We start from the raw sequence: 24,714 nt of genomic DNA, 5'->3' as shown, positions 1-24,714 counted from the left end.
CAAGGAGGATTTAATATAAGGTACCAGTTTAAAAAGTGCTAAAAAGGCTGAAACAGTAAAAAGAGGAAGGCAAGGCCCCCCGGTTATGAGGACTGCAGGAGGCAACCAGCATCCCTAGGGGGACAGAAGAAGCAAAAGGGAGGAGTTGGTGTTCTCAGGCTTGGGAGGCCACTTGCTGCGGGGTTGCTGGGGGCAAAACAAGAGGCCATGTTGGCCAGTCCTGGAGCCATGGATAAGGGGTCACCCACGGGTGCTGGGACCCTCAGGAGGGCCCACTGTGGCTAGAGGTAGAGTCACTGAAGGGAACATCCAGAGAGAGAAAGACAGAGCGGGAAACCAACTTCTCCGCTCCTCCTCCTGCTCTCTCTTGCCACCAGTGCCAGCTCCAGTTCCCAAGGGAACCTGGTAAGTATATTTTGCAAAATTCCCAGCCCCAAAAGTATAGAGTAGAATACAGGCTGTAGAGCCATAGAAGCTAATATAACCAGCACAGTGCCCTCCAGTGTTTGACCAAAGAGGCCTGTAAGCTGAACTTCTGTCCCATCCCAGAGTTCATAAGACAGGCTCCAGGCTGCCATTTAGGCTCTGCATGGTCTTGGGTTGCATTTATTTGCCTTGAGGTTCTCAGAACTGTTGAGATGCTCTTTATTCAAAAGACCATTTAGTGATTCCTATAAAAGGTTGTGTTACTCACTGTAAATTCTCGGCTCCAAAGAAAGCCTCATCTTGCCATTAATGGTGGAGGGTGTCCAGGTTCTTGGCATCTTGAACAAAGAATTGGATGAAATGCACAAAGCAAGGAAGGAATGAAGGGATTTATAGAAAATGAAAGTGCACTCTACAGTGTAGAAGCAGGCCTGAGAATAGGGGCTCAAAGGCCCTATTACAGAGTTTTTGTGAGTTTAAATATCCTCTACTTGGGGTATGCCCTATGTAAATGAAGAGGATGAAGATGAAGTAAAGTTACAAAGTCATTTACAGCGTATGCCCTATGGAGAGGATATTTCCTGTTATAGCTGAAGTGTGAATCGGCCTTATGTTTCCTGCCTCCAGACCCTATTTTCCTGCCTCATTGCCATATGACTGCATTATTCTGCTACTGTGTAAGTGATTTTCTAAACCCAAGGCAGTCTTTGACATTGAGAAGCTGGGAAAAGTCTGGTGGTGAGGATTCCACAGGGGAAATCCTCCCTCATGGGATGTCCATGGCTTTGGCATCAATTTATTTCGTCATCACATCAGGGTCCTTGGCTTCCAAGACTCATGAATGGGAGTGAAAGTTGCCAGCTAATATCAGCTAAATGGTCAAGATTCTCAGGATAAGTGATTGAAAAGAGTAAAATTTTAAGAAAAGATTTCTATAACAATGTGCAAAATGGCAAAAATTCAATTTGTAGTGCTGAGTTCATTGACTGAACTCAAAGTGCAGTCTCATATTTCCTGGGAATCTCAACATCAATACCCCTTGCCCTTTAAAATTTCACTTCAATTATTTCACTTCCTCATACAGGCCAAGTTAATATCAGACAGAAAACAGTTCTGTTGGGTAAAGAGCAGAGATTGGCAAAGTTTTGCTGGCTCTGTCTGACACCACACAGGATCTTAATTTTCTGTTTAGAATGGCCCTCTGTGGCATAAACTCAACAGAGCTGTATCAGAAAATGTCTCTCTATTTGTTTTCACCAACACTGTTACTTTTTTTGTTAGCTCACCGATTGTTTTGTTTTCTTTTTCCTAGAGCTATGGAACAGTCTGTGCCATTCAAAGATGTGGATTCAGACAAATACAGCGTTTTCCCAGTAAGTATTGTTAGGAATAACCAGATGTTCACTAACATCACATTGCTTCCTACACATTTCTTTCCTTTAATAAGACAAGACTGAATTTCATTTGAATGCATTATTAATTTGATGAACAACACATCATTTCACAATTTCTTTTCTTTTTTGAGACCAAGTCTCACTCTGTTCCCCCAGACTGGAGTGCAGTGGCATGGTCTCCACTCACTGCAACCTCTGCCTCCTGGTTTCAAGTACTTCTCGTGCCTCCCAAGTAGCTGGGATTACAGGCATGCACCACCACACCTTGGTAGTGTTTGTATTTTTAGTAAAGTCAGAATTTCACCATGTTGGCCAGGCTGGTCTCAAACTCCTGACTTCAAGTGATCTGTCCACCTCGGCCTCCCAAAGTGCTGGGATTACAGGCATGAGCCACCACAGCCAGCCCATTTCATATTTTTTAAGGATTTTGTAGCATTGTGATGATACACAAGGCATTGAAGTAAATCTTAGGCCCAGACTGGTTTTGTTGCCATTCCCAGCTGGAAGTCTCCATGGGGGCTATGGTTGCCTTGAAAGGTTTTGTGAATTATTTTGGAACTTCTTAAATCTACGTTAACTTACTTTTTAACGTGTGTGTGTGTGTGCGTTTGATTCAGAACAGTTAAAATGTCAGGGTATTCCCTGTGAAAACCAACAAGCAAGTAACATGTCACAAAGTCCCAAAAGTTTGGGAAATCTCAGATATTCTACTTGGGGATGGAGGAAATAAAAATATTATCTGGCATTATTATAACTCTTGATTCACATCATTCAGGTCAAATATTTAAACCTGCATAATTAACCATTTGGCTAGAGACTTTTAAATTATCCAATGAAATTAATCATTTGGCCAAATAAGCCAATTGTTTTACAGCCAGAGAGGACTGATGGTTAGTAGAGGGTTTTTGGGAAGTTGGATGGGTCTGCTGTTTCTGGAGGTGCTTGTAGACACACATACATGAGCAAACACATATTCACACAAACACACGTGTGTACATGCACACACATCTACAATATGAATACACATAAACACACACATGCATATACACGTGCCCCCATACATACACATTCACATTCACACAATGCACCCCCACACATGCACATACAAGCACGCACTTAATGTCACACACACACACATACATTCACATATGCACACACATGCACACACCCTACCACCTGATATTGGCCCTAGTGTTATATTACATGTCACTCACGCAGCATGTCTTATCATATTAATCTTAATTTTCTTAGTGCTCTTTAGTGATCCTAGATTGAATCTGAATTAAAAACTGTGGATGTCAATGCCATTCAGACAACTCTGATTAGCCTTCCTCGTGGATAACATCAAAGCAGGCTGAACCCCTCCTGTGTGTGCTCTTCAATTTCAGACACTGCGGGGCTATCACTGGCGGGGGAGAGACTGTAATGACAGCGACGAGTCAGTGTACCCAGGTAGAAGGTAACTATTTCTGCTGGTTGCTGATTTTTAAAATTATCTTCAGAAAAGGAAGCAGGAGGCACATTTCCTTCCCCCAGCCTAGGGGATTCCCACTTACAGAGAGAAGAGATTTTCATGTTCCGATTGAAGTAAAGCTCAGTGAAAAAAGAACGGCATTCATTCGTTCGTTTGTCCGAGAAATGCTTATCAGGGACCTACAATTTGCCAAGTACTTTGCATCGTGCTGGGTGGTAAACAAAACAGAAATATGCCTCCTCTTCTGGAGCTTACAGTCAAGTGGGAAAAACAATCAAGTGAACAGATTATCTTATTGTAGACACTTATCCAGCCTTCTGTATCAGTTCTCCGTGCAGAATTGGGCCCAGAAATAGTGGCCTCTCCCTCCGGGAGTAAGGAGAAGCCTCTAATGAATGGAAAACATGTCATATATTAGCCCTGGGCTGAGGTTCAATTGCATCTCTGGTATCAAAAAACAGATATGCTAGCCCTCGCCTTTGTTGTGACTATAGTGTCAAAGCATTAAATAAACCAGTTATTTGGGCATTTAGGGGCACAATGGGATGCAGATTTGTTCATTATGTTCATCGGCACCATTCCACAACAATGCGGTCCATGAATATAGTCAATGATGAAAAAGACAGGATTTGGTCCGGAGCTTCCGGCAAATATCCCAAACCAAGGTTAAAGCAAGGAAGCTGAATGGAGGCTTCTGATGTCACAACACACAATGGGATGTGATGCTATTCCATGAAGAATGCTGTTGTCTCTCCATGGCACTTCGTGTAGCATTCATTCATTCATTCATTCATTCATGCATGAAACTGACATCCACTGAGAGACAAGCATATGTCAAAGACCAATGTTAATGTTTTTTTCTTAGGCCGAACAACTGGGATGTCCATCAGGATTCAAACTGTAATGGCATTTGGGTAAGCAACTAAATTCAGCTTGAACCCCATTCTCCTTTGTTCCTCCCTCCCCTAAAGCTCATCACATATTTGCTTTAGTTAGATCCAGGGAAGACTATGACAGCCTAAAGCAACTCTTTTCCTGCTGCTTAGAAGAGGGGTATAGAATCCTGATGATGCATGAAGAGTGTCAATGATGTCATGAGAGTTGAGGCTTTCTCAGTCATGGCCCCTTTAAGCCTTGCTTAAGGTCACCCACATCTAATCCCTTTATACTGTTTTGAACAGTGTGAAATTAAATGAAGAGTGGTGTTAACAAAGTTTTACAGCAACCCACACAGCTGTTGGAGCAAACCACATGCTGTCCTTATTTTGTTGCAGCCATTTTTTTTTTTCTGTTTCATAAGCCTAGCCGGGCAGAGCAGAAATTACTCAGTATTTACCCGACCACTCACACCTTGAGGCGTTTAATGCTGGTGTCCTAGTTTCCTATGAATAATGGATTTGCAGCTCCCGGGGAAAGAAAAGGGAAGAAAAGAGGAAAGCCAAACTAACACAGCAACAGGCTTAAGTTTGTGGGGTGTTAAGCTTACAAGATTTGAGGGTTCCTCATGAAAAAAAGAATATCTACTTAAAAATACAAAATCAAATAGGAAAATGAATAATTTTTAAAACAATCACAGAAATCTTAACAAATTCCTGGAGTCTCAGAAATTCAGTTCCCTTTCTTTTGAGATCTCATTTCTGGTTTACCAGAACTGTTTACATGGAAACATGTTCTGGCCTCCCCTCTCCACCTAGAATACTCTATTGCTCCCAGTCACTCCCAGTACTCACATGGGCAGGGGCTGTGATGGGCCCTGAAGCTTAAGATTCCCTAACTTCAAGATATTATGTTGGTGCAAAAGTAATTGCAGTTTTTGTAATTAACGGCAAAAACTGCAATTATTTTCACACCTACCTAAATAAATTGTCTAAATTGCCTCTAAAGAGTTGCTTAATTTATCTGCTTCAATGAAGAAGAAAAAGTTTCTGTAAATATTTTCCTCTCTTCAGGACACTCATAGTCCAGGCTTGCACCAACAGTCACCTACTGCATGCTTTCCAGTCCCATGGCCTCTAGGATATGGAAAGCATGAGAGACAGCTGTGCCCCAGCCCACACCACCTACCCTATCCGCTAGTCACTCTGACTTTTCATGGAGAACAAGAAGACATCTCCCCTAGAGCTTAAGGTGACAAGATCCCCAAGTCAGCTCTTGTTCTGAAAAACCCAGGTTTAGTTGTCATGTTGGAGGACAAAGGAGACTAATCAATGTGTGATGCCCTGTCTTCGTTCCATGGTCCCACCCAGGCCTCAGATATGGTGTGTCACCCATATAAGGAGGAAGGCCAAGTGAGAGACTGTACTAGATCAATGGAAATCCACCATGAGCTCAGGGAGGCAAGATGCAGAGCTCATCATCAGTGATGGGAGAAGGACATATCACTTTCATACCTATCCCCTTCCACAGAGGAAACACCACTCACAGAACCACAACATCATAAACTCAGAGGGAGTCTTACCATGAAGTCCAATCTTGCCCATACTGTGTCCCAGGGACCCCAGGGTTGAGTGTGATGTTAATAGGTTCTTTCATGTTTTAATGGGCATGGGGAGCTCTCAAGACTGGAGAGTGAGCACACTCTTGTTAACACATCTCTGATCAGCAAGTGCTTTCATCTTGGAATACTATGAATAATCCTTCCAAGGACTAGCAGCTCCACTAAGGGGTAGCTTTAAGTTTAGGTTTTAGGATGTCCCAGCTGTGCCAATTCAGTCCCATTCACAGGCCCAATGTTACTTCCAGGTTTCTTAATCTGGGCACTATTGATGTTTGGGTTGGATAATTCTTTGTTGTTGGAGCTGTCTTGCAAACTGGAGGATATTTAGCAGTATCCCTGACCTCTATCCACTAGATGCCAGTAGCTCCCCCAGCAAAAAATGTCTCCAGACATTGCCAATGTCCTCAGGGGCTAAAGGAATGTGCAAAATGGACCCCTTGAGAATTGCTTCTTTAGAAGCATCAATCTTAGGTACTGAAGATGTCAGGACACTTAGACCTCCAGCTCAGAGACTGCAGAATCCGCCCAGACCCTGTGTCCAGTCACTCAGTGGACCCTCCATGCTCTGAGGGGTGAGACCCCTGGTCCAGGCACCTCTCCCAGAACCCTACCCAGCATCTCCCTGAATGAAATGGTTCAGTGTCTGGCTCTCTTTACTCCCACCCTCAGTTCCTCCCAAACCCGACTCGCTCGCACAGGGCGTTGCTATGTTGAATTAGGGGCTTAAGAAACTTTAAAGGGTTTTATCTACTCATTTGCCTTTGTGCTTTTAAAGCCATTTAGGAGAGCTTTAGTATATGTATCTCATAAATTTAAAACCAAACTGCTAATCACATCGTTTCTTTTTTAAAGGGTGTCGATCCAAAAGATGGAGTTCCATATGAGAAGAAATTCTGTGAAGGTATGAATTGTGGATGTCATTGTGGTTATAATGATAGATATTCTTTTCTAGTTTGAGTCAAATTGAAGTGAGCAGACCACCTAAGTCAGAACGTGCTTGATGCTAGGATTTACTCTATGCTGACCAACTTACATTTATTTTCATGACAGATCAGAAAAAATAAAGTATCTAAAAGGTTCAGAAAAGGAGGAAAGAGGGCAGAATCTTAAAAAAGCAAAACAATTTGTTTAATTGACTCTTTTACTTGACGATTAGGTTGCAAAATGGATAAAAGAGCAATGGGAATCCAGCACTTTTCCAAATAAGAAAATAGGCAGCAATCATAACTGAAGTTTTTAATCTTTTGCATTTTCCTCTAATTACACTACAAGGTCAGACACCCGGACTTCTACTGGTGGGATGAGTCTCTGTGTCCACTAGGCTAAAGATGCATATCTGAATGTCTGAATGACTTCAGAGAGACTGCCAGACTATAACTTGTGAGGGCTTCCCAAAAATAGCTGGGCAAAAGCTCTGTGCTCTAAGTGCCCAGATGGCACAAACATCTGGGCCACCAGTTCCATTGGGGAAACCTCACCACCCCACACATTACTGAAAATATGCTCCTGGTGATGCCAACACTTGATGGTAACATCACTGTTTTATATTTAGGCAATGCTTCTCTCCCCACTTCCACAATCACCTCATTCATTCATTCATTCATTCACTCATTCAACAGGTATTTTCTGAACAACAAGTCCAATTCTAACCAACGGTTATACTTGGCTCTGAGTTTTCTTGGACAAAAAGTATATAGTCTTTGCTGTGTATCAACTTAAAGCCTAATTGTCTTTAAGCCCTCAGAGGGCAGGAAGAGGAATAGAAAATGTAAAGGCTCATTACATATTTATGCAGTTTAGGAATATTTGTTGGATGAATAAAGAATGAATGAACAACTAAACCAATGAATGAAATATATGCAGATCTAGGTGAAACCCTGGTGCAAAGCCTCTTAGATTCCCCACATCCCACTCTCCCTGTGCCCTCCAGGATGTCCTGGGCCTTCTCAGTCCCCATTTCTGTGGCCAAATAGTGGTTTCCATGAAGCCCAGCCTGGGGAGCCACTGCAGTGAGACTAGGCCACCCTCTTGCATGACTTGAGGAGTTTGGAAGTGGAAAAAGGAGGTGCCTCTCTCTGCCTCTGGGAGGCATCAATTCAGTCTTTCAGGATCTTAAGGAATTTGGAAGAATGAGTTCACAGGTGACTGATTCGTGTGGATGGGCCTCAGAGTCAGATGAAGTGATTGTGAACCTCCAAACAAACAGGGCTGCATACAGACCTTTCTATCTCCGTGTCTCCATCAGTCAGAATCATCTATCCAGTGTTTTTGCCTGTATGGATTAAAGGCTTTAAAAGACCATAACATCCTTGAAAAATCAAAATTGCTCCATAAGATCATTAACCCTTAAAGTGAATTGTAATGGACGTTGGTGTGTTTTCAAGAAAGCAATTTCCAGAACCAAAATTTGGGTATATTTCGGATTTCAGATAAAGCTTTGATTCACTTATTCATCCATCATTCACTCAAGATGTTTTATGCTGAGCTGGGAAACACACCTGCATCTCTACATCTTAGCTAGCAGCTCCAATGGCCTGGAAATCTCATTCAGCTCCGAAATGCTATGCCCCTCACTCTCAAACATGCGAAAAGTGGTAATGCATTACTGTGAAAATGCTCGGTGCCTGGAATACACACTAGGGTATCCGCTCTTATATCTACCCAGTCTGGAGGTTCCAAACTACTTGAGTGCATAAATAATGTGAATAAATTGTGCTGCCTAGGTTCACAGCCCAGGGGAATCATTTTGCTGGGAGACTCAGCTGGGGCTCATTTTCACATCTCTCCTGAATGGATCACAGCGTCGCAGATGTCTTTGGTAAGTAATTTTGGCAGTAATCATTCCAGATGTGCTGGCCTTTGTTTTTGTTTCCTCTTGCTCTCTCTAAATGGGATGCCAACTCCACACAGGTGCAAATTTCCCTCTTTAGCAAAATCTGCCATGAAAGGCATATCCACAGTCATTTCAGTCCTAGACAAATGGCAAAAGGTTCCTTCTACTCACCTCCCCAGCCTCAGCCCAGCTGCTGCCAGGAACCCTGAAGGCAGCAGTGGGGAGTCAAGAAGGTGGAGAATGCACAGAAAGGACAAAGCCCACCGGGCCGGCTTCCCCGTGGAGGTCAGGATGAGGCACTCCGGGGCCTGTCCAGCTTGTTTTTCGTCTGAGCAAGCAAGAAGCTCTGGGCAGAGCAGGCTGCTCGGCTCCTGATGGCCTCTGCTGTGCTCCACGGAAGGCATCAGGGGACAGACAAGCCCGCCATCCATTCCCAAAGAGTGATGAGACTGTCTGGGAGGGTTTTTTAATAAAAAAAAAAAAGAAGAGGGCCACAAGGCAAAATTGCAAACAATGACAGAGAAGGCAAAGAAAGGGGAGGGAAACCAACATTTATTGACTCTATATCAGGTGTCAGGCACTATAAGAGAGATTTGTATGCATTACTCAGATGAATGACACCTAAATATGGGGTAGACATATAATGGCAACCCTGTATATTACCAGTTCATCACCTGAGCACACACCTGCTGCATTATCAGGAGGGCCATTATCTTCCTCTCAAATTGTGCAAACACCTGGGGAGATTGTGTGGCAAAGGGTGGGAGCTGGAGGGTGCAGGGAAGGGCAGTCTGAATGCCACACACACAAGCAGGGGGTTCAGTGGTATCAGATGGGTCACCTGCAGTTGGGGCTTCCTGTGGCCATAAGTTATCGTGAGGAAATGTAACAAAACCTGTGCCTAGGGATAGCTACATACTTGGCAGGGCTCAGTGCAAAATAAAAGTACAGGTGCCCTCAGCAAACCTTGTTCGAAAGTTCCGTTAAAGGTGCTAAAATATAAAGCACTTTTCTTTGGCAGTCTCCCTCAATATGTCATGGTATTTTCTTATTTGCTATTTAATGTCATTCTAAAAAAATAAATTTTTAAATTATTGACACAAATGTTATGTTCATCGTCACATTATGCAATGCCAGTTTTACATGCCACTGTAACAGCACTGAACTCCTATGCAGATGGAATCACTGAAATTACACAATTCTTATGTAGTAGCTTGTCCCTGGAGGGTGCTTTCAGCTGCCCAGAAGACAGAAAAGGCAAGCCAGACTCGGGAAGTTTGGAAGGAGGAATAGAGGCTTCCCAGGAGCACAAGTCCACCAGACTGAACACTTCCTCAGGCCAGGAGATGCTTAGGGCAATTACAGACCCTCCCAGGCACTGAGGCTCCCAACCTGAAACACTCAGGCCTGAGAGCTGCTGGGTTCCTCCTCCTGCCAGTGTTCCATGGGTCCCCAGGTAAGCCAGGAATCTCTCCTTCCCAGGGCCTGTCTCCCCAGTCCACAGCAGTCAGGTGACCCCCAAAAGTCTTCAAACCTCTGTGCTGGAACATGCTAATTATTTGGATGGGTAATGAGTTTGTCTCCTCTGCCCACCAGATGCCAGCACTGCCGGCTGGGGCAGGTGACAGCTGCCACCATGCCCAACCCCAATCTTCCTCTTGCCTGTGCCCAGATTCCCAAAAGGACCAAAGGTTAACATTGGAACACAGGCCTCCCCCATTGACACCATTTAATTGCCACTTTGTTGGAGGGTGCAGCAGTCGCAGGGCAAGAAGGAGAAGACAGGCTGGGGAGTGAGTGGCCAGGAACCCATCTTGAGAGGTGGCAGGAGACAGGATCCAGAGTCGACCCCGTTTCCAGTCCCCTCGCTCACACATGCTCAGTTGGCCCACTGGACTTCACTCACATAACAAACACAAATTCAAAAATAAGATTGTTAAGAAGTTCAAGGTGGGGCAGCAGAGCATTAAACCCAGTGCAGGGCCCTTTCTAAGCGAAGGACCTCATGGGACCCACTGGTTGCACACACATAAAGCCCTGCCCGGGTCTGATGCACTGCACAGGGAATAGCAGCTCACAGCCATTACTTCTGGATGGACCTATCAAACAACACAATAAAAAATGTGGGGCAGTGCCACAACAGACTCGTCCCAAGAGCCACCGTGTCCATTAGAGAAGGGGGTGGTGCCCCTGCCCTCGAGAAAGGGACATGGGCACGGTGGGGAAGCCCTGTCATACAGCCACCTATGGATGTGCTTCCCTCTTCCCTCTCCCAGAAAACTGAAACTGATCCAGAGAAATTAACCCGCAGAAATTATCATTTTTTCCTTGACCTCCTCTTCCTAGATTAAATAAATTGAACATGAACTCAAACAGTCTCTGGTTGAACCTCTCCCAAGCCCCCACACTGGGCAAGCATAGCTCTCCCTCTGTAAAGATGAGCAAGTGGGGAAACACATCCGGATACATATGAAAACTGCTCAAGAATACAAATGAAGAGCGCTGTTTTGAAAAACGCTTATGGGAAGAAAGAGAGTGACATTTTGCAAAATGTTAACTTCAGGTTCTCAACAATAATTGAGAGGAAATTGCACACATGAAAAAGAAGAACTCAGAAATCAGGGAAGACTGCCTTAAGGTGAAACAACTACCTGATCTAAAAATACAGTGGCAATACTGACTTGCAAGTTGGATGGTGCAGAAAACAGGAGAGCAAAGTGGTCAGGCAGCTGGGGAAATTCTGGAACTCAGGAGAAAGGCTAGTTGTGAAAATCAAGAGGGAAGAGAGGAGAGAGGCATGCAGGAAAGGTCCTGGCAATTGAATAGAAACTGCAGAAAAAGAAAAGACATCAGGCAGAGAGGAAGCTGTGGCTAAATAAGTAATACAAGATAATTTTCTTGAGTTGGGGAAATCCGTCTTCAGCCCACAACCCCCACTACGTGCCAGGCCAGGGTATAAAATAGACTCTCTGTGTTTCCTGCTTTTCCTTATTTATTCCAAGGATAAAGAAAAATCTTGGAATCATCCTGCCCAACAAACCAACAACGAGGGAAGATACTAGGAGGGAAAATCCATCTGGCATCAGACTTATCACTAAACACTAAATTTCAGGAAAAAGCGGAACAGCCTCTCTACAGAATTTTAAGAAGGAAAAATTGTGTTGAAAGTGCTGTATGGCAAGCTATTGTTCTCACATGAGGACTACAGAAGCTTATTCTCAGTCATTCAAAGAGTCAGAAAATATACCAGACATATGCCTTCCCAGAAAAAAAATTATTTTAAGAAATACTCCAGTCTCTCTAAGCATAATATTGTAAAAGGAAGCACACAAAAAAAACTAGATATAATTACATACAATTTTCAAATGTGTACAATGTCAAAAAAATTCACAAAATTAAAAGAGAAATGTAAAAGTAGAACAATACTTACAAAATATAAGGCAAGATTTAAATCCTCTAATTAACAGAGTTTCTACGTAGCAATAAGAAAAAAATCTAATTTTTAATGATGAAGAACATAACCAGTAAATATAAAAGTTTCATTTTCAGCAGTAAGAAACAAATTAAGATAACAATGCAATTCATTTATCGTTGTCAAACAAACAAAGGTTAAAAGTGATAAAGACCCAGTTTTAGCAAAAATATGGTGAAATAGGCATGTTAATTCACCAACAAGAGATGAAGTTACTAGAACTTCTCTGAAAGGCAATCTGGCAACATGTATAAGGCAACATTAAAATATTTGTGATTTTTAACTAAAAATTTCACATCTGCAAATTTCACATCTGTAATTTCACATCTGCAAATTTGCCTTTTAAAATGATCAATTATCTGCTCAAGAATATATGTACAGGAATATTCATCACAGAGGTATTTATTTATAAGAGCAAAAATGAGGAAAGAAACTAAAAATCAAAAAATAGGGGATGTAAAAATATACTATATTTGTACAATGAAATTTTGTGCAACCAGTTAATACACATATTAATAGACATATTTATGGGCAAGAAATATGTTTATGATAATCGGTTAAGCAACAAAAGCAGGTTACAAAATAGTATGTATGAGCCAATTTTGTGAATATATGTGTGTCTGTGTGCAAACAAAAAAATAATTGGAAAGTTGTAGGTCAGCATGTTACCTACCACTGGCTATCTTTGGATGGTAGAATTATAGGTAACTTTTTTTTTCTCACTTTTCTTCACTGAATTTGTATTATGTGTGTACCAAATATTGTGGCTCAAGATCTTGGAGATTTGTTTGTTCTATTTGTTTTAAGCAAATAGCTAAGGAAACCAGTTAAGGAAAACCAATGCATTTTTTAATTCAATCTTTGCAAAAGCCCTCTAAGGTAAGTGTTATTACAACACTGCCTCACTTTACAGATTCTCAGAGAGGTTGTGTGGACTGCCCAAGGTCATACAACTAACAGGTGGTGGAATGACTGCCTGTCAGCGTAATCCTGAACAAGCCGCTTAACCAGAGACTCTGTAAATGATGATAGTAACAGTGTCAGGAAGGGCCGTGTGCTTCAATGAGCTAAGGTCTATGAAAATGTTGCGGACCAGTATGTTGAATTCCAACCAGACAAAGTAGACTGACACACGGCTCTGGCAGTGCAGTGGTGATCGTTAATGAGGTTGCCTGAAATCCTTGTACTTGTCCTCCCTGTTCCTGCTTCTGGCCTCAGAGGCTGAGGAAAGGAGTGTCTTCGTAACCTGGGGCCCACACTTTCTCCAGGAGGACAGTGGCTCACTCTGCAGTGTGCTAATTCTCCAGGAAAAAGAGGGGCCCACCCAGTAGACATTTTAAGAAAATCACTCCAGCAAGCCCAGCAGCCGGCCCCATCCTAGAGACTTAACAAGTAAAATTTAGATTGTAATCGTTTTCATCTGCTGTTTGCAGCAATGAATTGATTCAAGTGCTGTCGAACAGCATTTGTTGGTATTGGTTTGGGTTACTCCCCACTCCTACGTTTTGGCAGTAAATTGTTTTGAGAAATGCCTGTGAGAATGGGCTGATGAGAAACCCAAATCAGGCATAACAGTTCATTGGAATTCACGAGTCTTATCAAGATGGTAATAACACTACGGGTAGGAGGAACAACACTACAGTTTCAGCATCATTTTGTCACCTGTTTTAAGCCTCTAGTGTTCCGGGGTTATTAAAATCTCTCTAGATTAACATTCCTCTCCAAGCTAAAAATTGGCCCAGCCACTCTCAGCCTGGCCACTTGGTAAGAATAGGAGACGGGACAAGAATAAGAGATCCATTTTGCTCAGGATGTTGATACTGAAAATGAAGCTTTATCACCAAGTTATTGTCAAAATAATAACCACCAACCACTCCAAATCTCCAGTGACTTAAAACAACCATCATTTCTTCTCACCCGTGCGTCCGGGGTGGTCTGGGATCAGCTGTTTTCAATTGAGCTATGTTGGTCTTGGCGCCAAGCTTCAGGCTGGGCCCAGGTGTGTGCCATGTGTCTCTCATTTTTCTTGGCTGGGCAATCTATCCAGAGCGTCTTCTTGTCATGGTGATGTCAAAGCGCAACAAGGCAATCTGTGCCCTGTCCACCATCAACCCAACAGCCAAAGCCAGTCATGTGACCACAATCAAGATATTGGGGAAGGAGGCATGACTGCCCAGAGTGGGAGAAGGAAGAGAGTGCATACGCTTTATTGTTTTTATCTAATTATATATGTTAAATATATGATTGAGAAAATGTGAAAATAAAGAAATTATTTGGAAATTATTAAAATTCCTCCTTAATACTACCACCCAGAGAGAGTCACCTTAACATTTTGGAGTATCAGGCTTGTTTTGAAATATTCTTTAATATTCTTTTTTTTTAAAAAAAAAAAAAAGTTATAAAGCCAATGATAGAGCTAATTTTAAGAAGTAAAAAATAACCCCACCATCTTAAATTTTTCACAGTATTTTTGCACTCTTTCCAGCACTCCCCCTTGTATGCATATATGTATATTATATATACACACGTCATGCTGTTACAAGAAGAGCAAGTTTGCAATTGGCAGTTCTTTTATTCAATTCATAAGTATTTTCCTCATTACGACTTTGTTTTTATACTCATTATATTTATTGCTGCTCTGTAATGACCTTTTCAGGGGCCATGCAATAATCTACTAAACCACCCACCTACAGCAGGATGTTAAACCGATTCTTTTTTTTTTTTTTTTTTTTTGCTATTATGGAGCATTCTCCTTAAAAAAAAAAAGAAAAAAGAAAAAAAGAAAAAAACCTTCCAATTTTTAAAAACTATTATCTACAGAATCTCTTCATTTGTGCAAGGAGTCAGCCTAGGTAAGAATACCAGGCTTAGCCAATAGCCATGAGGTGTGTTGAGCTCAGACACCTCGTGTTTCCATTGTCTGGTTTTTCGTGCTTGTGGCAAGTGTAAACAAAATGTCAGTTCTAACTTAGGCAAAAATTCTAGAGTCACATCTCTGCAGGCCCAGCAGCACAGCACTGTTCATGCAACAATTAATTCAACAAATGCTAGCCAGGTCTACTATGTGCCAAGCCCTGTGATCGGATGACAATGGGGAAAAGGATGGAAAGATCCCTGGTGCCCATAGAGCTTAAAACCCCATGGGGCAATGCGGACGAAGAAGTAGCAGTTCTAGAGCCATTAGTGCTGTAATGTGCACACGCTCCCCCGCAAACTGGAGGAAAGGCTGCCTGAAGGGAGAGACACTGTGTTCAAAGCAGGGGAACAGAGCTGGAGGTAGTCAGGTCCCAGTCAACCTAGGAAGGCGTGCCCTAGCAGAGGAAAGAGTACGTGCAAAGGCTTGAAAGCAAGAGGGTCCAGCCTTCTGAGGAGGAGCTCAGTGCAGCTGAACTAAAGCTCATCCAGCACCAGGTGGGACAGTGAGACAAGAGCCTAGAGAGGTGCATGGGAGGCAGATCTCAAAGGGCTGGAGTTTATCCTGAAGGCAAGCAGGAGCCATTGAAGGGTTTTAAACTGAGAAAGGGGCAGATTTGAATTCTAGAACATTTACTCTGATTTCAGTGGGCAGGATGAATTTATTTGGTTTAGGGGGAGAGCGGGGATCAGGCAGCAAGACCAGCTAGGAAAATTCTAGTTGTAATTCCAGTAAAAGTGTGCTAAGCTAGAAAAGTACAGTGGGGAAGAAACAAGATGAACAAACTCAGAAGTCTGGAATCAAGAGTGGACGATGCACCCTTCCCATCCCGTATACTTTATGAGGGTTCCTCAAGATGCCACCCTACCCCAGCCAGATGACTCACCGGGTTGGGGTTGACCTTGGGCTGTCCCCCAGCATCCTTCCTCTGGGGGAGACTGCCTAGAGCTCATTGCCAATTGCAGGTCTTCCCACAGGGTCTCAGCCAGCCTTTGGAGACTACTAAAGAGCCATCCCTGTTAGGAAACTTCTGGTGCTTTTTGTCTCTTTGTACCAGACCCCCCCCCCTCCCCGCCGCAACAGCTCCTAATATTAATAGTTATGGTGAGCATATAATTTATTGTCCAAACTGGACACTTTGAGAGAAGAGGGATTGCTCCCATAATTATGCCATGACAACAGGCATTAACCTGGACTGGCTCAGACAAGTCTGGATGTCTGGCCACCCTACTGATAGCCACATGCCAAGCTCACTCCACAGTCATGACAGTGCCCAGTGGAGAATCTCAAGCCCCTAACTTACATGTAGAATAGTCTCGGACATTGACTCAAACAGACCAGTGTTCAAATCCTGGCTGAGCCACCTACACTCACTTCTTTACTCTGAGCTTTAGTTTCCTCATCTAAAAAGTATAAATAATGATGGCTACCTTGTCAGAAATCGGGAATCATTTTTATAAATGTTAAAAATTGGACTATTTATTTCTATCTACATTTTAGCTAAGGCCTGAGACAATGTGGACAAATTATTCCCACCTTCCCACCACCAATATTTCTTCCAAGTGAAAGATGAGACCATGTCCACAGAGCCTGCAAAGGAAGGGAGTGAAGCCAATTCTGCAACCTGTCACTTATCTCCAGAATCAAAGGTCCAGAAGAGTTGAGGCTGGGAATGGCCAGTGTCAGAGGGACAGTGGGGCTCAGCTTTCCCTGTCGGGGAAGGTAAGTGTGCTTCCCCCTCACTGTAAAGACGCCACTAAGATAACTGGATAGGGGTCTGCAGAGACTGAGCCCAAGAGGACTGGTGTTGGACACCCCCATGGGGAATGTAAGAGCAGTGACCGAGGCAGCAGGACAGAAAGAGCGTGGGCCCTGGACAAGGACATGAGCCCCAGGAAGGGAGAGCCAGCCTGGGCCACTGGACATCCTGCAGAGGATGGCCTGCAGGGGCAAGGTGACTTCACAGGGCTTAACCTCCAGCTGAGCAGGGCTGAAGCAGCAAACTTAAGTGACTAGTGGAGTGCAGAGAATGCACACACTCCACCATGGCAAGTTCAGTCACCTGTTCCCCACAGTGCCTCTCAAGAGCCCCACAACAGCCCTCATTATAGAAAGTCAGCTTTGGATATCTGCCCGGCTAGAGGCAATCACACCCGACTGTACCTCTTCTCCCTCCACCGCAAGTCTCAGCCAGCAAGAGGAAGGAAAAGCTGGCCAAGTAGACAAAGAAAGTGGACCACATTCCCATCCCTGGGTGCAGATAATCAGCCTCAAGCCCAGGATGGACAGGGAGCAAGAAGTTTTACTTAAAATTGTGAAGACTGAACATTTTTCTTTTCTGAAATGGAATTGAATATAACCGGAAGAGTGTATGTTTCTGAGAATGAGCATGTGCATAATTGGGCTGGTCTGGATTTTCTTCCAGGGCAAGGGATGAATTAGCACCACAGATGAGTGTGCAGTGGGAAAAAGGAAGGAGTTGTCTCATTGCACCCTATGAGTACTGCCTGCCTCATGTGCCAGTTAAAGACCTCAAACACCAGCAGGAGTCTCCCTTGGGGTCTGATGGTAGGAATGCATTTACAAATCAAGACCCTTCAGGAAGCCCAGACATGTTTCGTTCCATTCCTTTGCTGCACCAAGGACCTGATCGTATTGTCTGGCAAGCACAGTAAATGCTGTAGAAAAACAAGTGGGCATTGTTTCATAATGGGCCCTTCTGCCTTCTATGAGGCTAGTTGATACTTCTTTGCCTTTGTCTCCCTATAAGGCAGAAAACACATCTGTGCGTACATGACCCCATCCCAGCTGTATTCGCTGAAAAGGAATCCACTGTCAGGCATTCTCCCTGCAGCAGCCCCTCTCCTCTCCTGCTCTTGCCATCCTCTGCTTAAGTAGTGGGGCACCCGGGAGTCCTGTTTACAGCTAATTAGATTAGGAGTGTATTCATCTGGAAAGATATTTGTAGTTCAATAAAGAGAGTATGAAGACTCTCTCTCATGGTTCCAGAGACACAAAGGGTTCTGAGTCTCATTCCGACCTGTCTGCTCCCTTTCTTCTTAAACAACCTGAGCTTCTCTCCGAAATATCTAAACCTCAGTAGTTAGGTTCAAATCGACCTTCTCACGCCACAAGAAAGACCTCAACTTAGAAAGATGTCAAAGGAAGATGAAGAGCAAATCCAAAAACACTTTCATGCTGGTTTTGTTTTTTTTCTTCTTTTCTTTCAAGGGAAAAAACAATCTCTGCTTGAGTTGTTTGTTGAAAAAGAAGAGGAGGTGGAAAGATCATTGAGGCCAGCAAGGGATGCTGCCCTCCTGCTTCTTCCCCCATCTGTTCAAAAATTATTTCCAACATATTAAATGCTGCATTTCACTGAATCAGAATTGCATGACAGGTTGGGGGAGGGGGTGAGGAGAGAGAAGCAATTCTGAAATACAATTTCCCAAATGTTTATTTTGCTAGCTAAGGCTGTTGCCTATCCCATTATAAAATCTTTGCACGACCCCTGGCAGGCTGTTGTCTGTAGGGTAAGTAGGCGCAGATTGAATTTCGTGCTGTGTCAAGGACAAAATGAATCCTTAATCTAGCTGCTGAAAATGCATATTCACTAGAGAGCAAAGCGGCTCCCATCTCTCAAGCTTATATGCACTTCATTTCTCCCTTTGAGATGATTTTGTATATCAGATTTGGCTACTCTTTATTAACCCACAAACAGCACAGGCAGTATCGAAGCTGTCACCCTACGCTCACTCACCCGCCCTGCTTCCCGCTGTCTGGATTTATCACTGCACATAAAGCCTCCCTTAAGCACAGAGGAAGATTTTCATGATGCATACAAAATATGGGAATTCTATCTGAGTTACCTTCATGTCGACTCCAGAAATATCTAAGCATTATAGTGCTTTCTTATTATATTTTAAGATGAAGAAAAGCTATTGTTTAGTAAAACTGGACAAAATCACATCTTCTGCTCCTCAGCCATCTTGCAGGCTAGCGGATTAAAGATGCTAGGTGATGAGGAGAGAAACCTCAATCCTAGTTACTTCTCACTGATTCTGTCAGAAAAAGAGAGTTGTGTTCACCGTGGTGAATTCTGCTCTCCAGCAGCAGTGAGGCCACAAGAGACAGAATGTTCTTCCGTTTCCTTTCCCTGTTCATGAACAGGCCAGACAGGCCGTTCTTGAATTCTGATCAACTCGATGCCCTTCTCTCCCTACTCAAGGTGAGAATCTGCGTCTCTCACCTGCCAGCCATGTAGGGTGCACTCCCAGGCTCATGGGAACATCCATCATCTTGGCCCTGCTGCCTACTGAGAGAAGTAAAAAGCCAAACACCAGTTGTTATGAAAACTACAAGAGGAAATTATTTTAAACTCCATACTTCTGAAAAGCATTTATAATTACTCAGCCCACATACCTGCTCTGCCAGAACATGAAATAAAGACTTCTGTATCAGGAGGCAGTGTGAGTCAGTCAATGCCTGTGCTATCCAGCCTGCTGCTGCAACTAGAGGACAATCTCTTGTCCCCTGGTTAATTATGTCTGTCACCTGCTTCACTCTCCCCCACATTCCTTAGCCATCAAATGGAGCTCATGAAATTACTCATCACAGGGGAAACGCCTAGAATCTCAAGTTCATTGGCATGTGGAAAGAGAAAATTCCATCATTTAAAAATAATGTTAGGTGGTTGGAATTAATTGTCATACACTGTTCATTCATTGTTTTTTCAACTAATTCCTTCCATGCAATTCCTTAGGAGGAGTGGGAGTAGGCAGAGATTATCCAGCCCAGCTCTAGTCAAACGTCTAGGAGGCAAGACTGGCTTCTATATGATTTCCTAGGGAAATCATACAGAATTTCCACTCAAGGAAATGGTTGGGAGTTAGGGCACAGTGATGAGCTAAACCACTAAATTAGGTCATTAGTGATGACCTAATTCCTGCAGGAATATAAGGAAGAGCATGCATGAAGTACAAAGTCCAAAGATTCCAGAGGCAGAAATTGAGGATAGCATCACTAAGCCTGACCGCTAAAGAGCTCAAAGGAAAGCGGAGCAGAAAGCAGCAAAGAGGTCATGGTCTCATGTTGGTAACATATATTTCAGAGCCAACAAGAATGAGTGGATGCATCAGCTCTTCTTAACAGAGCAGGATATGGGCTCAGCTGTGGTCACAGAGTCCCAAATTTGGTGACTTAAGATGGAAGTGTTTCCCTTTTATGTAGTAATCCAGAGGGAAGCAGTCCAGGGCTGGGGGAAAGTTAGGTCATTCTCAACATGCAGCTTCCATCCTGGGGTCTGAGGTAGCTGCCCGTAATCCTGCCACCTGTCACCTGGAGGGAAGAAAAAAGACCAAGTGAAGGCACACATATCCCTTGGGAGAAGTTGGCACGATGGTGGCAAATATCACTTCTTTCTCACACCCCATTGTCCAGAGCTTAGTCATATGGCCATACCAGGCTGCAACAGAGACTAAGAAGTGCAGTCCCTGGCTGGGCAGCCCTATGCCCAACTATCACTGTTCTATTATTAAAGACAGAGAAATAGATAAAGGTGGATAACTGGGGCTCTGGAGGTGAAAAGCACCGGCTCAGCCTCAAAAAATGTAAAGTCTAGCTGGGAAGATAAACAAATAAGCTCACGATAATTAATAATAATAATAGAAAGCAAATATTACCATGTGCTTACCAAACACCAAGTATCCTATTTAACATTATCTTATTTAATACTTGCAATGGTCTGAATGTTGGTGTCCCCCCAAAATTCATATGTTGGAACTAATACCCACTGTTAATATGAAGAGGTGGGGCCGATGAGAAGGGATTAAGTCATCAGGGCTCCATCCTCATGGCTGGGATTGGTACTCTTATAAAAGAGCTCCCTTGCCCCCATGTGAGAATCCAGCAACAAGGCACCATTTACGAAGCAGAGGCCTTCACCAGACCCAAATTTGCCAGCACCTTGATCTTGAACTTCCCAGTCTCCATGAACAGTGAACAATAAATTTCTGTTGTTTATAAATTACACTATAAGGTATCTTGCTATAGCAGAATATAGACAGAGAAAATATAGCAGAATATGGACTATAGCAGGAAATGGACTAAGACAATACTGAAATGACTCTGCTATTATATGTATTTTATAGATAAAGAAACTGAGACTTAGCAAGTTTAGCTAACTGACAAAAGGTTAAACATGGAGCCCAGATACAAACTAAGTCTGTTGGATCCTAGAGTAGAGGTCAGAAAACTATGGCCCTTGGGTCAGACACTGCCCTCCCTGCTTTTGTAAACTAAGTTTCATTGGAACACAGCGATGCCCGTTCACTTACATATTGTCTATGACAACAGCAGAACTGAGCAGTCACAACAGAGACCAAACGGCCTGCAAACCTGAAATATTTACTGTCTATTCCTTTACAGAAAAAGTTTGCCAGCCTCTGCCCTAGTGCTAGAGGGTTAGGTGCAGTCAGCTAGGCATGCACAAGCTACCATGAGACCTAGAAGAGGACACCTAAGAGAGAAAGGCCGGGGCAGGCGAGGAAGGCTCTGAGAGGAAGTCCAGATGTAACCAACCCTTGTCTGTTGATTAGCAACTGAGCAGTCAAGACAGTGGAGCTGGAGGAAGAGCTTGTGGTGAGACCTGGAGGTCTGCGGGGATAGGGGTAGGTTCAGGGGACCCAGATTGTTGACGGGGGTGGGAGAGGAGGGCTGTCAGGAGAGGTTGGGGACATGGAGGTTCCTTGTGGTGGAGGATGACATTGAATAGCTACAGTAGCCTGCAGATTAGGGTTTCCCTACATGGCCAGTCATTGCAGTCAGGTAGGGCACTTATTCAAAATGAGATACTAGGGCCCCACCACAAACCTACCCAATCAGGATCTGTACTTTAAAGAAGCTCCCTGTGAGATTCTGGGAAACACTACTGAAGATGTAGGAAGAGAGTGAGGAAGCAGGGCCCCTGGCCAGAGGTTGCTGCAGTCACCCAGGGCCAGCAGATGTGTATGCCCAGAGGGGTGGAATGGCAAGGTTTTGGGACAGCCTCTTGGTATAAAGTGAAAGAGCGGAGAGAAAGAAAATGAGATCATCATTTATGATCACGGTCATGGGGAACAAGAGCCCAGGTCAGTCCTGGTGAGCAGGTGGCCCCAGTGAGGTCTTCTCCACTTTCCCCTCTGTAACTTGACCTTGGACTTCTTCTGGTATCAAATTCCAGTTATTACCCCCAAAAAAGAAAAACTACCCACATCCCAGACAAATTGCAGTCTGGCTGTTGTAGAAATGACTAAACTTTTACAGAATCAAAGGTATCAGAAGAGTCAGCTTTGAGGACGTGTACCTCTTCGTGCTCATTTCAGGCCCTTGGAGGAATTTTTTTTTTTCTGTTTGTGGAAGAATTTGTTTCAATGGCCTTAGAAAAGAATTGATTTGTGGTTATCTCTGCATATGAGGAGGATATTTTATACTCTTGTTTTCTTGCTTTTATGTATCTAAAAAAAAGTTCAATCACCCTAGGGGATGAAAAAAAAAAAAAACAATGGAAGGAAGGGAATTCAGTAGAAAGAGTTTAACTGTACAATGCGTTCTCATTTGGTATGCGGCAGTGAGAGAAATGCATCCCTCGACTCATTCATTGAATAAATAAATCATAGGGTTAGAGCTTAAGTAATAAATAATAGAAAAGGAAAAGAAAGAAACTAAGAGGAGCTGACAAGGTAAAAATAAATAAATAAAAAGAGCTGCATTCAAGCAAAATGATGAAACATGGAGTGTTATTTGCCATTTTGTCCTCTTTGTATTTACTTGTCATATTTTGCTAGAATTTTTTATTTGATTGTTTATTCACTGCCCCCATAAGCTTTTGTACTGGCAGAGGGTCAAAGAGGAAAGGCTCTACTTTTTCCCTGAAAGTGACTTATTTCGCTGAAGTTGAATGTGCATCGAATAAGCATCGTACCAGGTGCTGAGTAGTTATTGCTACTGATCTGCTGGTGTGTAGTACATTTTAAGTCACTAAATTTGGGGATTACCTGTTACATGAAAATGTGTAACTGTAATACTTGGTGTTTGTTGGTCTCCTTTGGATATGATATGATGAATTTAGCCCTGAGGTTTTGCATGCGGTGTTAGCAATACTGGAACTATTTCCCCCTGGCCCCTCTGTGCTTGGTTCTCTCTTCCTAGCCTTCCAGGACTCACACGTTAGATAAGACTTCCTTCAAGACTCCTTTCTTGAAAGCCCCACATGTGGGGCAGATGTCCCTTCTATGTGCTGACACAGTACTCTGGACTGCCCTTAATGCTACTAACATTTATTGAGCTCTTACAAGTCTAAACGTCATGCATAGATTATCTTTTTTAATTCTCTCAACCACCCAATGAGATAGGTACTATTATTAAGCTATTTTTATTGGTAATGAAACTGAAGCACAGAAGGATTAAGGAAAGACTTCCAGGTTACCCAGATGGGAAGTGTTTATTGTCTGTGCTCCTCTAGACGGTGAGTCCCATGAAGAAGGAGCCCACAGCTGCCTGGTATGGAGTCCAACAGAGTGCCCAGCACAGTCTGGTGCCTGATGTTTCTCTCTCTCTCCCTCCCCTTCCCCCCTCTCCCTCCCTCTTTTCCTCTGTGTGCCTCTGTGTGTATAATGAATCATAGGGCCACAGGGACTTTCCCTCAATATGAGACTCATCTCACACACGGGAGATTATAAGGTTTACAAATCAAATGCACAGAGTTAAATTACTTTCTTGAAGTTGTCTATATTAAAGCCTTAGTTTATGAGAACTGTGCTACCTAATCTAGTTAAGCCTGAGATGACAGAGGCAGAAACCAGATGATATATCCTCTCTCTATTCTCCCAGAACTTCCTCTGCCAGACCCCACTGGAAGGCAGACCTCCAGAGCAGTGGTGTGCGCCATCTCCCGGGGGCCTTTCCCCTGGGTATGTCAGGCCAGACAGGCCCTGGGTGCAGAAGAGTAGGGTGTGTGGGGGTTTCTGTGTAGGGTCACATATGGTTTCAGTATTTTTCCCCAAAATATTCATTCTGCACTCTTCATAAATTAGACACGGTCTCCATACAAGAGAAAGAGAGAAGGAAAAGATGGCGGCAGCTCTCAAATCATCTGTGGACTTCAGAACTTTTCACCCAAAGCAGTATCTGGGAGACTGCCCCCTAAACAGGCAACCAGGAAGCCTCACGTTCAAGGACTATCTAGCCCAGCTTGGCCCATTTTGTGATTTTATGGGATTTGGCAGCTTGGGGGCAAAGCAAGGACCAGATACAAGTGGGCTATGGGAAGCTGAGGATGGTGCTGACCCGGCCTGCTCTACACCTCTCCCTTTCTTGTTCCACCAGAACCTGGGCTCAAATCCCAGCCCTACTATTTACCAGATCTATGACCTTGGCAAGTCATCCCAAGCAGTGGTGTGCGCCGTCTCCCGGGGGCCTTTCCCCGGGATATGTCAGGCCAGACATATCTGAGTTCAGACCAGAGCAGTCCTGGGCCCTGCGCTGCCTTGCATAAGGGATTCTTTCAACAACAGAAAACACAGAAGTCCTCCAGGGGCCTGAATCAACAAGGGAAGGTGCTCATCATAAGAGGGGCCCTCCCAGAGCCTCTCACTGGGTTAAGGGTTGGTCATTTAATTTGCTGCTGTTTGTCTGAGGTGTGAATACTTGTTCTTTATTAGAGGGAATAT

At 43.6% G+C, this 24,714-nt stretch overlaps 1 protein-coding gene across 15 annotated transcripts in view, besides 1 other annotated feature; it reads left to right on the top strand.

Moving 5' to 3' along the window:
- Window positions 1-24,714, top strand: part of AOAH (acyloxyacyl hydrolase) — a 211,554-nt gene that overhangs the window by 99,506 nt on the left and 87,334 nt on the right. For 14 of the 15 annotated variants that reach the window (NM_001177507.2, XM_011515334.3, XM_017012102.3 and 11 more), the window contains 5 exons: window positions 1,739-1,799; window positions 3,209-3,279; window positions 4,160-4,208; window positions 6,644-6,692; window positions 8,515-8,609. In NM_001177507.2, coding sequence (NP_001170978.1) covers window positions 1,739-1,799; window positions 3,209-3,279; window positions 4,160-4,208; window positions 6,644-6,692; window positions 8,515-8,609 — 325 coding nt within the window. Of the gene's footprint in view, window positions 1-1,738; window positions 1,800-3,208; window positions 3,280-4,159; window positions 4,209-6,643; window positions 6,693-8,514; window positions 8,610-16,510; window positions 16,733-24,714 lie in introns of those variants that run through there. The other variant, XM_017012105.2, reaches the window with a different exon arrangement.
- Window positions 8,989-9,490: an enhancer, noted in NCBI's record as "H3K27ac-H3K4me1 hESC enhancer chr7:36655105-36655606 (GRCh37/hg19 assembly coordinates)". NCBI's record gives its function as "activates a minimal SCP1, AML or CMV promoter by ChIP-STARR-seq in primed H9 embryonic stem cells {active_cell/tissue: H9 hESC(primed)}" and the evidence as "EXISTENCE:reporter gene assay evidence [ECO:0000049][PMID:30033119]".

Source organism: Homo sapiens, chromosome 7 (genome assembly GCF_000001405.40).
Source record: "Homo sapiens chromosome 7, GRCh38.p14 Primary Assembly".
Taxonomy (NCBI): Eukaryota; Metazoa; Chordata; class Mammalia; order Primates; family Hominidae; genus Homo; species Homo sapiens.
This window is presented reverse-complemented; position numbering and strand designations above follow the sequence as displayed.